We start from the raw sequence: 16,620 nt of genomic DNA, 5'->3' as shown, positions 1-16,620 counted from the left end.
AGTTTTCTAGGTATAGTATTATATCATCAACAAAGAGAGATAGCTTGACTTCTTCTTTTCCCATTTGGATGCCTTTTATTTCTTTCCCTTGCTTGATTGCTCTGGCTAACACTTCCAGTACTATTTTGAATAGGAGTGGTGGGAGTGGACATTTTTGTCTTGTTCCAGTTCTCGAGGGGAGTGCTTCCTGCTTTTGTCCATTCAGTATGATGCTGGCTGTGGGTTTTTTATAGATGGCTCTTATTAGTTTGAGATATGTTCCTTCAATGCCTAGTCTGTTGAGGACTTCTATCATGAGGGATTGCTGGACTTTATCAAAATGTGTTTATTGAGATGATCGTGTGGTTTTGTTTTTAATTCAGTTTATGTGATGAATCACATTTACTGACTTGCATATGTTGAACCAATCTTGCATCCCAGAAATAAAGCCTCCATGATTGTGGTGTATTTACTTTTTGATGTGCTGCTGGATTTGGTTTGCTAGTATTTTGTTGAAGATTTTTGCATCTATGTTCATCAAGGATATTGGCCTGAAGTTTTCTTTTCTCCTCCTGTCACTGCCAGATTTTGGTATCAAGCTGATGTTGGCTCTATAGAATGAGATAGGGAGGAGCCCCTCCTCCTCAATTTTTGGAACAGTTTCAGTGGAACTGGTACAATTCTTTCTTGTACATCTGATGGAATTTGATTGTGAATCCATCTGGTCCAGAATTTTTTTGGTTGGTAGGTTTTTTACTACTGATTCCATTTCAGAATTTGATATTTGTCTATTCAGGGTTTCAATCTCGTCCTGATTCAATCTTGGAAGATTGTGTATTTCCAGGAATTTATCTATTTCCTGTACATTTTCTAATGTGTGTGCATAGTAGTCTCTGAGGACCTTTTTTATTTCTGTGGAATGAGCTATAATGTCACCTTTGTCATTTTTTATTGTGCTTATTTGAATGTCTCTTTTTTATTTGTTTGGCTAGCACTCTATCAATTTTGCTTATTCTTTCAAAAAACAAACTGTTAGTTTCATTGATCTTTTGTATGAAATTTTGCATTGTAATTTGGTTAAGCTCTTCTCTAATTTTAGTTATTTCTTTCTTCCGCTAGCTTTGCGGTTGTTTTTTTTTTTTTTTTCTAGTTCCTTTAGGTGCAAAGCTAGACTGTTAATTTAAGAGCTTTCTAACTTCTTGATGAAGATGTTTAGTGCTATAAACTTTACTCTTAACACTACATTAGCTGCATCCCAGATATTTTGGTAAGTTGTGCTCCTATTTTTATTAATTTCAAGGAATTTTTTAAATTTCTGCCTTAATTTTGGTGTTCGCCCAAGAGATATTCAGGAACAAGTTATTTAATTTCCATGTATTTATGTAGTTTTGAGATATATTCTTGATATTAATTTCTATTTTTATTGCAGTGTGGTCCAAGACTGTATTTAGGATAATTTAGATGTTTTTGAATTTATTGAGACTTGTTTTATTACTGAGTATGTGGTTGATCTTAGAATATGTTCCACATGCAGATGACAAGAATGTATATTCTTTGGTTGTTGGGTGGAGTATTCTGTAGATTTCTATTAGGTCCAATTGGTCAAGGGTTGTGTTTAATTCCAGTCTTTCTTTGTTAGATTTCTGCTTCAGTGATCTGTCTAATGCTGTCAGTGGGGCTACTGAAATCTCCCTATATAATTGTGTGGCTAGGTAATTATTTTTTTTAGGTGAAGAATAACTTGTTTTATGAATCTGGGTGCTCTAATGTTGGTTATATATTTAGGATACTTCAGTCTTCTTCTTGGATCCAACCCTTTTTCATTACATAATACCCCTTCTTGTCCTTCTTGTTAGTGGTTTAAACACTGTTTTGTCTTTTATTTGTTGTTTTTATTTGCATGGTAGATCTTTCTCCATCCCTCTACTTTGAGCCTGTGGGTGTCATTACAGGTGAGATGGATCCCTGAAGACAGCAGACAGATAGGTCATGTTTTTTTATCTAGATTGCCATTCTATGTATTTTAAGTAGGGCATCTAGCCCATTTATATTCAGGGTTAGTATTGATATGTGAGATTTTGATCCTGTCATTGTGTTGTTAGCTAGTTGTTACGTAGACTTGATTGTGCAGTTGCCTGATAGTGTCTGTGGGCTATGTGCTTAAGTGTGTATTTGTGGTAGCAGGTGTTTTCCTTTAGATTTGAGGTTTAGCACACCCTTGAGGACCTCTTATAAGGCTGGCTTAGTTGAAATGAATTTCCTCATCATTTGCTTGTCTGCAAGGATTTTATTTCTTCTTCACTTACAAAGTTTAGTTTGGTGGAGTATGAAATTCTTGGTTGGGCCAGATGCAGTGGCTCATACCTATAACCACAGCACTTTGGGAGGCAGAGGTGGATGGATTGCTTGAGCCCCGGAGTTTGAGGCCAGCCTAAGCAACATGGCAAAACCGCATCTCTACAAAAATAAATAAATAAATACGAAATTAGCTGGGTGTGGTGGCACACACTTATGCTCCCAGCTTCTCGGGAGGCTGAGGTGGGAGGACTACCTGAGCCTGGGATATTGAGGCTGCAGTGAGCTGAGCTCATGCCACTTCACTCCAGCCTGGGTAAGAGAGTGAGACCCTATCTCATAAATAAATAAATTATTTTAAAAATAAAAATAAACTTTTGGTTGGCATTTATTTTCTTTCAGGATGCTGACAATAGGTCCCCAATCTCTTCAGGTTTCTGCTGAGAAGTCCACTACTAACTTGATGGGGTTACCTCTGTATGTGACCTGACCCTTATCTCTAGCTGCCTTTAAGATTGTTTCCTTTGCATTGAACTTGGTGAAGCTGATGACTATATGCCTTGAGATGATCATCTTGTATAGTATCTGGCCAGGGTTCTCTATGTTTCTTGAATACACATGTTGTATTAGTCCATTCTCATACTACTATAAAGAAATACCTGAGACTGGGTAATTTATAAAGAGATGAGGTTAATTGACTCACAGTTCTGCAGGCTGTACAGGAAGCATGGCTGGGGAGTCCTCAGGAAATTCACAGTCATGGCAGAAGGTGAACAGGAAGCAGGCTTGTCTTACATGGCTGGAGCAGGAGGAAGAGAGAGAGGAGAGGTGCTACACACTTTAAACAACCAGATCTCATGATAACTCACTCACTATCACGAGAACAGCATCAAAGGGGAAATCTGCCCTCATGATCCATTCACCAGGCCCCACCTCCAACACTGGGGATTATAATTTGACATGAGATTTGAGCAGGGACACAGACCCCAACCATATCGCATATCAACCTCTCTAGTGAGATTAGGGAAATTTTTGCGGACTATATCTTCAAATATATTTTCCAAGTTGCTTATTCTTTCTCCTTCTCTCTTTGAAAATTTGATCTCTTTATATAATCTCTTATTTCTCAGAGGTGTTGTTTATTCTTAATTATATGTTCTTTTTCTTCTTCTTCTTCATTTTTTGTCTGACTGAGTTGAGGAACTGGTCTTTGAGCCCTGAGATTCTTTCTTCAGCTTGATCTACTCTGCTATTAATACTTCGATTATATTATGGAATTCTTGTTTCTATGCAATTATTTTTCTAGTTTTCAGCTCTAGAATTTCAGTTTCGTTATTGCTTAAAATGGTTATTTTGTCTTTCAGCTCTTAGGTTGTTTTACTGGATTCTTTGGATTCCTTGGATTGGGTTTCAAATCTCTCCTGAACCTCAGTGAGCTTCCTTGCCATCCAGGTTCTCAATTCCATATCTGTCATTTCAGTCATTTCAGACTGGTTAAGAACAATTGCTATGGAGCTAATGGACTTGTTTAGTGATAAGGGGACTGGCTTTTTGAATTTCCAGAGTTCTTGCACTGATTCTTTCTCATCTTGGAGGGCTGTTGTTCCTTTAATTGTGATGTAAGTTGTTGGCTTCATTTCTGTATGTTTTCAGAGGTCAAAAGCTCTGTACAGGGTCTTTGTGGCCAAATTCTTGCCCTTGGTTTCACAGGGGGGTATATTAGCAAAATATCTCTTGTGTTGTAGTTTGGGCTGTGACCCAGTAGATGGTGCTTAAGAGTAAAGAGCAGTAGATAAGCTTTGAGCCACGCAGCTCCTTTGCATTTCCTCAAGTTTGCAGCTGTGCTCTGCAATTGGGGGGTGGGGAGAGGTGCTGGGTAGAGGGTTGGAGAGGAAGGTTTCTCCCTTACCAGGTCCATTCCTGGGCCTTGGGAGAGCCTCCCTCTCTGATCACTGCACTGTGCCCGTGTTTCTTTTGTTAGGTGTTCCAGGCTGCTGGAGTCCTTCAGGCAGAAGCCACAGCAGGGAGATAGATCACATCCTTTCCAAACTGGCCCTGTGGAGGGAGAAACACCCTGGTCCCACACTATCCCACAAACCTACGTCTCTTCCCTCTCAGTGCTCTGAGAGGGTAAGCTCCTCCCCAACTCGAGTGGACCCCAGGCTTAGCAATCCCAAGTGGTGCATGGCAGCCCTGGGCTGCCAGGACTGGCCTGTGGCTCCATCATCCCCACCCTCTGGGTTGGGTTCCAGGTGTGCTGGGGGATTTGAAGTGCTCCCAGGCTGCTGGGAATGCACTCAGATGGAGCAAAGTACCCAGGTTGGTCATCGAGGCTGTATTATGTATAGTCTCCTGGTTGGTGGCCAGGCAGGGGGCCTGGGAAGGACTGGCAGGCAGGCAGACCTACAGGGAAGTCAGCTCCACTTCCTCCTGGCCACAGTTAAACGGGGCCAGAGTCTCTTGGAGGAAGATGGGGAGCCCTGGGATATGGCCGACAGAGCTGTCCTGTGTACGGAGGCCCCTGGCTCCCTACTGGCTTAAGGCCCACTTCCATCTACTATCTGGGAAGATCCCCCTGCCAACTCAACTGTCCATGTGTGATGTGGGGTCCCCTGCAGCTAGGATCCCTAGAGGTACACAGCAACAGTGGGCGGTCCCACAGTCCCTTCACTCACCCCTTCCCCAAGAGCCATTTGGAGGTGGGAACCAACTCTAGCATTCGAGCACCATGCCCAGGGTTCCCAGCTTTCTCTCTCTTCAGTCTCAGCTTCTATGTCACTTCTGCATCCAGTCTCAGTATTTTCTCTCCAAAAATCTGTTCAAATTATGTTGGTTTAGTCAAAATATTCGTCTCTTTCAGTGGAGTCAGCACTTCCCAGTTGCATCTAGTTGGCCATCTTGTTAAAAAGTCTCTAATGATTTTTGTCAAGATTGCCAAGACCATTCAATGGAGAAAGGACAGCCTTTACAACAAATGGTGCTGAGAAATTGGATATCCACATGCAGAAGAATAACATCTTATTGCCTAACATCATATACCAAAATTAACTCAGATTTGGTCAAAGACCTAAAACTATAAAAGTCTTAGAAGAAAACATACAGCAAAAGCTTCATATCATTACATTTGTCAGTGATTTCTTGGATATAACAACAAAGGCACAGGTAACACAAGGAAAAATAGACAAATTGAATTTCATAAAATTAGAACTTTTGTGCATCAAAAGACAAAATCAACAGAAAGAAAAAGGAAACCCACAAAAATGGAGGCAATATTTGCAAATTATATATCTGGCAAATGATTAATATCTAGAATATATAGAGAATTCCTAACATTTAACAACACAAAAACAGATAACCCAATTTAAAAATGGTAAAGGACTTGAATAGACATTTCTCCAAAGAACACACACAAATGGTTATAAATCACATGAAAAGATGTTCAGCTTCACTAATCACTAGGGAAATGCAAATGAAAACTACAAGGAGATACCACCTCACACCCATTAGGATGGCTACAATTTAAAAAAACAAAATAACAAGTGTTAGTGAGGATGTGAACTAATTGCAGCAATGTTGGTGGAAATGTCAAATGGTATAGCAGCTGTGGAAAAGAATATGACTGTTTTTCAAAAAACTACCATATGATCCAGCAATGTCACTTCTGGGTATATACCCAAAAGAATTGAAAACAAACCTCCAAGAGATATTTTTACCCCAATGTTCATATCAGCATTATCCACAATAGCTAAAATGTGGAAGCAATGCAAGTGCCCATCAACAGATGAAGGGATAAGTGAAATGTGGTATATACATACAATTGAATATCATTCAGCCTTAAGAAAGAAATTCTCACATACATTTATACCACAGGTGAACCTTGAGAACATTATATTAAGTGAAATAAGCCAGTCACAAAAAGACAAACACTGTATTATTCCACTTACAAGATATTTAGAGTAATCAAAATCACAGAGCTGATGTTAGTAGAATAATGGTTACCAGAGGTTGGGGGAAGGTAAAAGGGAGATTTATTGTTTAATGAGTAGAGAGTTTCAGTTTTAATCTAAGATATTGAGACACTAATATATTTTATCTAATATATGGGTTTAAAAGCTCTTGCTTCTCACTACAGCAATAACTACAAGTTTGGTTTTAGAGTATTTATATTGAGAGAAATTTCCATTTAATTACCAGACAAGCCATTTAACTTGAAGTTGATTCTTTGCATAGTAGAAACTATTAAAAAATCAAGCAAAACATTTTAAAGTAGATACTTTTTTTAAAAAAATTGAGGGTTTATTTTCCTGTAATCTATAGTTTTAAAAAATTAGTCATTCAGAATATTGTTTGAGAATACTGAAAGTATAGAGGGTAATTATACTAAAAGCTAAAATGAGTCTTTGATGTACACTTTAAGTGCAGGAATCATTTATCCTGGCTGGAATAGAGTTAATGGCAATGCAACATACTTAGAATAAGGAATTCCCTTGAATATGCTCACATAGACATATATTCCTTTTGAAACATCATTACCAATAAATATTTTAGGTCTATTAAGCGTTTTTTGGTCACTCATTCTTTCTTACCCAAGATTTTTTACTTTGGTGTCAGTGCTGTCCCTTCTATCAACTTTATTATGCTTCCTTGAAACTTGTAAATTTGGAAATTGCCTAACAAAACATTCAAAGTCACAATGCCAACAAGCTAAAGAATATCAGAGAAAAGAAAATGCCAAAAACTCACAGAGAGTAAGCAGGAAAAAAGGCTGAGACCATCACCATGCCAAGGGACCTTTCTAACACAAGAACTCCCCATCATCTCCTCAAATCTATGACTAACAATTGACTACAGGCCCCAAATGCTTTTCTTCTTTAAATTCAGCCAAGTTCACTTAGAATGTTTTCACTTGTCATTTAACAAACATTAGACAAAGATCTACTGTGTCAAGAACAGAGATAGATAATAACTAAAAAGAATGAGTCTACTTAGCATTAAAGATAAAAAGACAAGTAAGTTATAGTCCCAATCTGTCAGGATCTCAGAGTCCAATAAGAAAGGCAAACATGTATATACATAATTATAATCAAGGGCTATTTGGGCAGTGAGGGAGTGTGTACAAGGTAGAGGGCACTGCAAGAAAGGGGATAATTAACTCTGGTAGTGGAGGGAATACGTTTCTGCAGGAGTAACAATGTGTGAATAGATTTTAAAAGATGAGTAGAAATTTGTTAGGTTTTCAATGCAGAAAAGCACTCCTGGAAGCAAACAGGGAGCTGTGAAACAGCATGGCATGTTAAGGAAAATTGCAAGTAGTGAGGTATAGATGGAAAATAAATATGAGAGGTACAGGTTACAACAATACGGATGGGAATGAGGGGTTAATGCTTACTGATATGGTTTGGCTATGTCCCCACCCAGATCTCATCTTGAGTTGTATCTCCCACAATTCCCATTGTTGTGGGAGGGACCTGGTGGGAGATAGTTGAATCAAGGAGGTGGTTTCCCCCATACTGTTCTTGTGGTAGTGAATGGGTCTCACAAGGTCTGATAGTTTTATGGGGAGAAACCCCTTTTGCTTGGCTCTCACTCTCTCTTTGGCTGGCACCATCCACGTAAGATGTGACCTGCTCCTCCTTGCCTTCCACCATGATTGTGAGGCTTCCCCAGCCACATGGAACTCCAAGTCCAATTAAATCTCTTCCTTTTGTAAATTGCCCAGTCTTGGGTATGTCTTTATCAGCAGCATGAAAACAGACTAATACACTGACCATTCCAGTTTCTCCTCACTTACTATGATGTTGTGTTAAAGAGCCAGGATAATTTTACAGGGTTTAAAGAAAATCACTTATTACATTTATAGGTAGCATGTAGTCAGCAAATTAATATGCAAACATTCTTTGCAGTGTTGTTTGCAGTGGCAAGAATGTAGAAACAACCAGGCTTTTACCATTTGGGGTCTGATTAAATAAATCGCAATACTTCACTAGAAAGCAATAGTATGTGGTTGTTTTATTTTAAGAAAATAAGGTAGTGCTGCATGATTAAAATGGACCTCATAACAGGATATAATATTTATTTGAAAACAAAACAAAACAAAAAACAAATAGCTGGTCATGTGTATACTGCCTTGTGTGTGGGGTTTTTAAATGATATGTTAGCATTAAATGATATGCTAGCATTATACATAGGTTATAACCTATAAAATGCAAAATGATATATGTTTTTAAAAAATAGCTCAGGAACTCATTTTCTTTTTTCATTCCCTTTCTTCCATCTGCGAAAATGAACAAGATAATATTAATTAGGACAACGGGAGAATGTATGATAAGCAGTTCAGAATAAGAATTTATAGTCAATTGTAGTTTTCCCCCACAGAATTAAATAGAGTCAATGAGAATGCTGCATATAATACTTCAGTAAGAGTTTTTCACTAGCACATTTCACCAGCGCTGTTTTGATCAACAAGTGAAATCTTATTTTTATTTTTTCTGGGCATACGCATGATTGCTATAATGTTGAGGCAAGGGGCAGAGGCATGGAGACTACCAAACGGAAAGACTGTGAGTCTCCCGGAACATGAGGACATTGTGTTTTAAGTATATTAGAAAAGTCTAACATCAGGGCAGCAAGTAATACTATTTAACAACAGCCTGACGCTGAAGGAGGACAAAATGAAGTGTGAATGTTTTTATAGATGCTGCAAGACATTGTTGTGCTGTTGTAGATGTGATTGTGTTACAATCATATCTGTTTCAGCTAGTGTCATTTTGAATTTGAACAAAGCAAAACATCCTAATATTTGATATCTGTTATGCACTGAAGAGGTTGAGTACCACTGTTTCAAATTATTATCCTAGTCCCCAATGTTATCGCTTTTAGACATTTGGTCTATTCTAAATTAATTATGAATACGTTTGTACATATCTATGGAAATAAACAAGCTAAATTTAAAGGGGGAAAAGGTGTTATGGACACAAGAGCAGGACCTGAACACATAATTCCCAATGGTGATTTGCAAGTCTAATGCACCAAGTTCAATGTCCAGGGCTCTTTATTCAGCTCTGAAAAAAATATATATGTATATATATACCATGTTCATCCCAGGAAACTCCATTTCATAAAACACTGTTATAAATACTATAGAGAGTTATGGGTCAAAATAACATGGTAGGTTCCACCTATATGTCTTTAAGTTTAGAGAGTCATGCATTGTAGGCAAGAAAAGAAGAGGCAATGATCATACTGCCTCTGTTTTAGCCAGACAGTGATCTTCCTAGGGATGTCAGGATGTCAGCTGTATCTGTCTGATCTTCAGCAGCAAGCTTCAGAAAAAATTCTTCAGCCTATAGAAATCCAAGGTGCTAATGAACTCATTCTTTTTTGTCACTATCTATCACCCATCCCCAGGTTTCAAGGAACACGTGGAATGTCTCCTGTTTTGACTCATTTAAATATCAGTTCTTGCCCCAGTAGACTCCAGCATTCAGAAGTAGCCCCTATACCACTGATTTGTTCATTTGTGCTTCCCTTCTTCTAATGGATTCCTCAGTATAGACCTCAGTTCACTCTCTGGACCAATTTCTATTCATCACCTTAGCATGAAGAACCAGCTGGCTATCTCTCTGAGATTCAGTTCTTATTTATTGTGAGTTACTTGTGTTCTAATCTAGGAAAGGTTAGGACCTTGGTTTCCATGTCCCTAGGGCTTCTCATACTCGAGTTTGCCTGTGTAGACAATCCTTTTGTACATGTTCAGCACTGTAGGTCATATGAAGACATGAAAGACCTCTATACCTTAAGGTTTTCCTTTGTTATTTAAGCTTTAAACTGGCCTGGCCCATCCTTATATCTCACCCTAGACTGCTCATAAAAACAATCTGCAAATACAAAAGGGGATTCTAGGTGATTGCATCTGGTTGGGTTCTTTGGAAAATAACCTCTAAAACAAAGATTGGCATGCAGGATGTTAATTATGGAATGCTTTGGGGATCACCATCTGTGGAAGGGAAAGGAAGGAAGCAGGACTAGACAGAGGAAGAAGTTAATCCACTTGCAGTGGATTTTTTGGATTAGCTAAATCAGACTTTTAAAGGTAAAATATCTCCTCACTGAGGGAACAATTCTTTCAGTCATTGAAAGTAGATTACTTCTTTTACTACATTTGGGGGTTAGATAGAGTAAGGAGGGCAAGTAAAGTTTGCTTATGGATTTTTAAAGTTCTTGATACACATCTTACTGAGAGACTTGCAATTTTGGGACTCTGAATACCAAATATTCCAAAATTGAAGCAGAAATTAGAGACAATTCTGAAAATATGAAAGAGAAATTATAGCAGGATTATTAAACAAGGAGATATAATTTACTGCAAATCTAGGCAAGTAATGCCTCCAGAAATGTATCCTTTCTTCTAAAAGGTGACCTGCTACTCTTTGCTACCACTGACCCTCAAATTTACTAAGATAGGTTTCAGTGTTTCAGTAAGAACAATTATCTAGAAAACGGATATGGCCACAGCTATAAAAAACCCAGGCACTATTCAGAATGGGATATTAAGAATGGCCCTGTTAGGATTCAACAGGGCATCAGTCCAGAAGTTAGAGATTCACTGTCATTCTCAAGACATAACTGCAAAGCCAGGAAACAGAGCTACCCATCTATATCTATCTATCTATCTATCTATCTATCTATCTATCTATCTATCATAAAATATTTTAGAAAGATCCCTATTTGGAGGAGTTAAAAGAAAATAAAATTTAAAACAAGAAAAGGCCCTTAAAGACCAACTGGAAAACCAGATTACAGAATCAGACCAGGTAAGTATTGCCGGGTATGAGCTGAATGTGTGCAGGTTGCTAGGTAGACAAAGGAGATTCCCAAAGGAAATTATCACTGAAGCCAGGAGAGGTTTGAAGCCCAGTCCTATTGCAGGTAAGATAAAGGGGAACTCACAGGCAACTTTCTGATCTATGAGCTCTATTGAGAAATGCTCTGTTCCTAATAACACAGGAACATCTGCATATCTCTCTACCCTTGATTTGACCACATGCTGATCAAGAAGAGGGAAAAAAAACCATGGGTGGTCATGCACTTACTAGACAGGAATCAGCAGCTACATTTGGAGCATCAAGCAGGCTTCTCAAACTATTTGGAATTTTGGTGGAAAAGGGTGTAATCAGGGATGAGAAGTGTCCACCCTCACAACATCATTATTTGTGTCCAAATTTACTCTCAGATACACTTGCTAGGTTTCTTGAGTCTCTGTTCAACCTCAGAAAAGCGCTTCTTCTCACCTCGGACAAGAATGGCCCTAAGAAATTCGAAATAATGAAATTCTACAAATGTTCCACTAGAAGTTGCTTTACTCTCTGAACTGATTTTCCAGTGCTAAGAAATGCTCTTCTAGAGGGCATGTCAACACTGGTGACTGTGGGCTGTACAAGTGAAAAAAAGCACTGTTCTATCCACTCCCAGGTCTGCTTTCTACATTCCTCTTGAGTCTATACCCTGATCTCAATTCTTACTGCCATGACCACAGTTCGTGCTGCCAGCAGCTTTTGCTGGAATTAATGCTCAGTCTCTGTCCCTTGGTAAAAATGATTTAAGGTTGCCCCAATGCCTTCCAGGTAAAATACAAACTCATGGGTAGAACATGAGAAACTTTCCCTTGGGTTTAACTTGTAACTGTTCATTCACGTTGATTTACCTGTGAGTTTGCCATGGCTTTTCTGTATTCATGCCCTAGCTCCTGACACATTGCACAGCACAAAAGGACCCTGAATAAATGCCTGTGAATGACTACCAATGAATCCAACACATAGGCAAGGTAGCGAACCCTAGGGTATATAACATGGTACAGCTTAGCATCCAGAGAGATCTGAGCAAGTCACTTAACTTCATTGTGTCTCAGTTTTCTCACCTGTAAAATTTTGAGAAATTTACCTACCTCACAGCATCCTTGTGAGGATTTAATTATACAATGTGTGTAAAGAACCTCAGTCATTGCCTGACACATGCTATTTATTTAATCAACATTCAGTCCATCTGCTTTCTTCTCAGTTTATAATCTGTAAAATTTAAAAAGTAAACTACATGGTTTCTAAGTTTCCTTCCAACTCATAATGGGAGATTTTAGCATACAATTATCAGTAATGACAGAAAAATACCACAAAATTAGAAAGATAAGAGAGGCGATGAGCAACAGGATCAACAAACTGTATCTAACTGACATACATAGAATTCTGCACCCAACACTTGCAGGATATCCACTCTTTTCAAGTGCATGTGAAAAATTTACCAGACTTACCCTTATGTTGGGCCATAAAGTAGTATTATAAACAGCAACAGAAAATGAACAAAATATGGCCACATATCACAATTTAGGTGAATCTCTCAGATATGAAATAGATTTAAAAGGCCAGATGTTTATATAAAGCTAAAAAGCAAACAAATGTGTTTATAACATAAGAAGTCAGAATAATGATTACTTTGGGAAAAGTGGGCGTGAAAAGGTTTCTGGAATTTTGTTTCTTGATCTTGGTGGTGGATACATATGTGTAATCACTTTGTGTTAATTCAAAATGTATGCTGATGATGCTTCAATGTAAGTTTATTGTTAATAACCAAATAATATTTCTTAATACTAATATTGTGTTATTTTGGTTAACAAATATTAATATTAATTAATATTAGTTATTATATTAAAATTAATTAATATTAGTTATTATATTATTAATATTAATTAATATTAGTTATTATACAATTAATATTAATGGTAGCATTAATTATATATTAATTGTTAATGTTAACAAATACACATAATTATAAATATTAATAACAAATATTTATTTCAATATATAATACAATATAACATTTCATTAACATTATTATTTTATTAACATTATTAGCAATAATATAATAAAATAACAATATTATATTCATATTAATGTTTGTTAGCAACCAAAATGAATATGGACTAACATGCCCAGCTAGAAAGTAGTGGAATGGGAATTTGACTTTGGTCTGCAGAACCTCAATATCCGCAACATGTTTGCAGGACCTCTTCATCTTGGTGAGCAGTGAGCTCCCATATTTGTGCTTCAGCCCTATACAATCTCTGAAAGCTGTTCCTAGCTTCCCAGGCTCTCTGCTACTGCTTTGAAAGGTGTCTGTGTTAAGGGGGAAAGAAGACATCTATCTTGAGCTCCTGTCCCCATCCTTCTCTTTAATTCAGAATTTTCTCTCTTTATGACTTCACTTAGAGAGAACTGACTTGGTCTTTATCTGTTTTTTTTTAACTTCCAACGATTATTTTTTCAATATTTCATCCAATTAGTTGTTCTCAGTTAAAACATGTCTACAACAAGGTATTTTATCATCACAAGAAGTGGGGAGAAAACTTAGTTCAACTTTTCCTACATCATTATTGGTTTTACAAATTATTCAACAAATATTTATTTAACACCCTATATTTTTGTGGTTTTTTTTGCAGTTGCAAGATTTAATACAGTGAAATAGAGTGAAAACGGAGCTCCCATACAAAGAGAGGGGACCCAAAGAGGGTAGCCATTGCTGGCGTGAATGCCTGGGTTTATATCCCGATCATTGTCCCTTCCGCTGTGCTCTCAGGCAACAGATGATTGGCTATTTCTTTACCTCCTGTTTTTGCCTAATTAGCATTTTAGTGAGCTCTTTTTACTATCTGATTGGTCAGGTAACACCCCTATGTTATAGGCACTATTCCAGGAGCAGGAGAGGGGCATTGGTGAATTCGACAAAAGACACTGCATTTGTACTAATAAGGCGAAAATAATAATGGCATCTCTTGAGATAAACAAATGGAAAAATATCCAATGCTCATGAATTGGAGGAATCTATATCATTAAAATAACCATACTGCCTAAAATGATCTATGGATTCAATGCAATACCTACCAAATTACCAATGTCATTTTTAAGAGATTTAGAAAAAGCAATCCTAAATTCATATGAAACCAAAAAAGAGCCCAAATAGCAAAAGCAATTTTAAGCAAAAACAACAAAGCTGGAGGCATCACACTACCTGACTTCAAATTCTATTATAAGCCTATAGTAACCAAAACAGCATGACACTGGTATAAAAATAGACACAGAAATCAATGGAACAGAATATAGAATCCAGAAACAAAGCCACATAACTACAACAAACCGATCTTCCCCAAAGCTGACAAAAATATACACTGGTGAAAGGACATCCTATTCAATTAAGGGTGCTAGGAAAATTGGATCATTATATGCAGAAGAATGAAACAGAACCCATACCTCTCACCATGTACAATAATTAGCTCAAGGTGGATTAAAGACCTAAATGTAAGACCTGAAATTATAAAAATCCTAGAAGAAAACCTAGTAAAATCTCTTCTGGACGCCTAGGCAATGAATTTATAACCAAGTCCTCAAAAGCAAACAAAACAAAACCAAAAATAGACAAATAGGACTTAATTAAACTAAAAAGCTTCTGCACTGCAGAGGAACAACAACAGAGGAAACAACCTATACAATGAGGAAAAACATATGTGTAAACTATGCCTCCAATGAAGAGCTAATACCTAGAGTCTAAAAAGAACTCAAACATCTCAACAAGAAAAAACCAATAACCACATTAAAAAGTGGGCAAATAAACAAAAGTTTCTCAAAAGAAGACATACAAGGAGTCAACCAACAATTTTAAAAAGCTCAGCAGTACTAATCATCGGAGAAATGCACATCAACCCTCAGTGAGATACCATTTTACACCAGTCAGAATGGCAACTATTAAAAAGTCAACAATCAACAGATGTTGGAGAGGATGCAGAGAAAAAGGAACACTTATACACTGTTGGTGGGAAGGTCAAGTAGTACAACCTTAGTGGAAAATAGTATGAAGATTTCTCAAAGAACAAAATACAGAACTACCATTCAATCCAGCAATCTCAATACTGGGTATATACCCAAAGGGAAAGAAATCATTATACCAAAAAGATACCTACACTCACATATTTATTACAGAATTATTCACAATAGCAGAGATAGAGAATTAACCTAAGTATCCATTAATAGATGACTGGATAAAGAAAATATGGTGTATATATACCATGGAATAATACTTGGCCATAAAAAAGAATAAAATCATGTCTTTTGCAGGAATATGGATGCAAAACTAGAGGCCATTATCCTAACTGAAATAACTCAGAAACAAAATGTTCTATACCACATGTTCTCACTTATAAGTGGAAGCTAAACCATGAGTATACATCAACACACAAAGTGGAATAATAGACATTGGAGATTGTACAAAGTAGGAGGGCTGGAGGAGGGTTTGGGATGAAAAAATCACCTATTGGGTACAATGTTCTCTATTTGGGTGATGGGTTCTCTAAAAGCCCGGACTTCACAGGAATGCAATACATGCATGTAAGAAATCTGCACTTGAAAATCTAAATCTAGAAAAATAAAAAAATTTTAAAGAAAACACTAGATAGCTATTTAAGAGAGTGAATACCATTTCACTATTTAAAATCCTCCAATGACTCTCCATTGCCTGAGGCAGGGTTCCTCAGCATAGGCATGTGAAATAAAAACAAAATCCTAACTGCTCCCACCCCCACTGGCTGAATGAACTCCTCTTGGCCAAGGAGACTTCAGAAAACGTTTAAAAAGTACATGTCTAGGCGATAACAGGATGGGAGTTGGTCACACCTCAGTAATTCCCTTCCTCACTAACCATTGCCAGAATGTTTTTTTTTTTTTTTTTTTTTTTTTTTTTTTCCTGAGAGTTAAACAGAAACCAGCCCTGGAAAACAAAGAATGGAACTCAGTCCTCAGCTGACTTCAACAAACCACCTGAGGCCAGAGCCAGCCTCCCCTTCATTTTTGCAGTCTTTATATAGCAGCTGACAGGTTTCACAAAGCATCCCTTCCTGATAAATGACCACCAACTACAGATTAGTTCTGCTCAGTTTATGGAAGCTGCACACTAAACACTTTGTGTCCTAAGTTTCACCTTTTGAGATACAAAACCTAATTTTACTACATTTTAATGTTAAGTTTCCACCCCAAAGTGGATATGGGACATATGTAACATGCATGTTTGCTTATGCCTGCGTGAGGCCCCATTTCATGAACAGTCATAGATCTTCCTGTAATCTGTTAAATATGCATCTTCCTGTAACCTGTTAAATATAAACATTTAGCCAGTCCATTTAGCATAAAACTCCTGTTCCACTCTTCCTCCTTTGAAGTGCTTGCTTTTGGTCTCAGCCAGAGGCTCTCTGTTTCCCAGTCTGCAGGTTACAATCCGTGTCAGAAATAAAGTTCTCCTTTCCAAATTAAA

The 16,620-nt window shown here is 37.4% G+C and overlaps 1 annotated feature.

Moving 5' to 3' along the window:
• Nucleotides 4,113-4,612: an enhancer, noted in NCBI's record as "H3K4me1 hESC enhancer chr3:26159333-26159832 (GRCh37/hg19 assembly coordinates)". NCBI's record gives its function as "activates a minimal SCP1, AML or CMV promoter by ChIP-STARR-seq in naive H9 embryonic stem cells {active_cell/tissue: H9 hESC(naive)}" and the evidence as "EXISTENCE:reporter gene assay evidence [ECO:0000049][PMID:30033119]".

The sequence above is a fragment of the Homo sapiens genome, chromosome 3 (genome assembly GCF_000001405.40).
Source record: "Homo sapiens chromosome 3, GRCh38.p14 Primary Assembly".
NCBI lineage: Eukaryota > Metazoa > Chordata > Mammalia > Primates > Hominidae > Homo > Homo sapiens.
The sequence above is the reverse complement of the archived record's forward strand: the minus strand, read 5'-3'. Positions and strand labels throughout refer to the sequence as shown.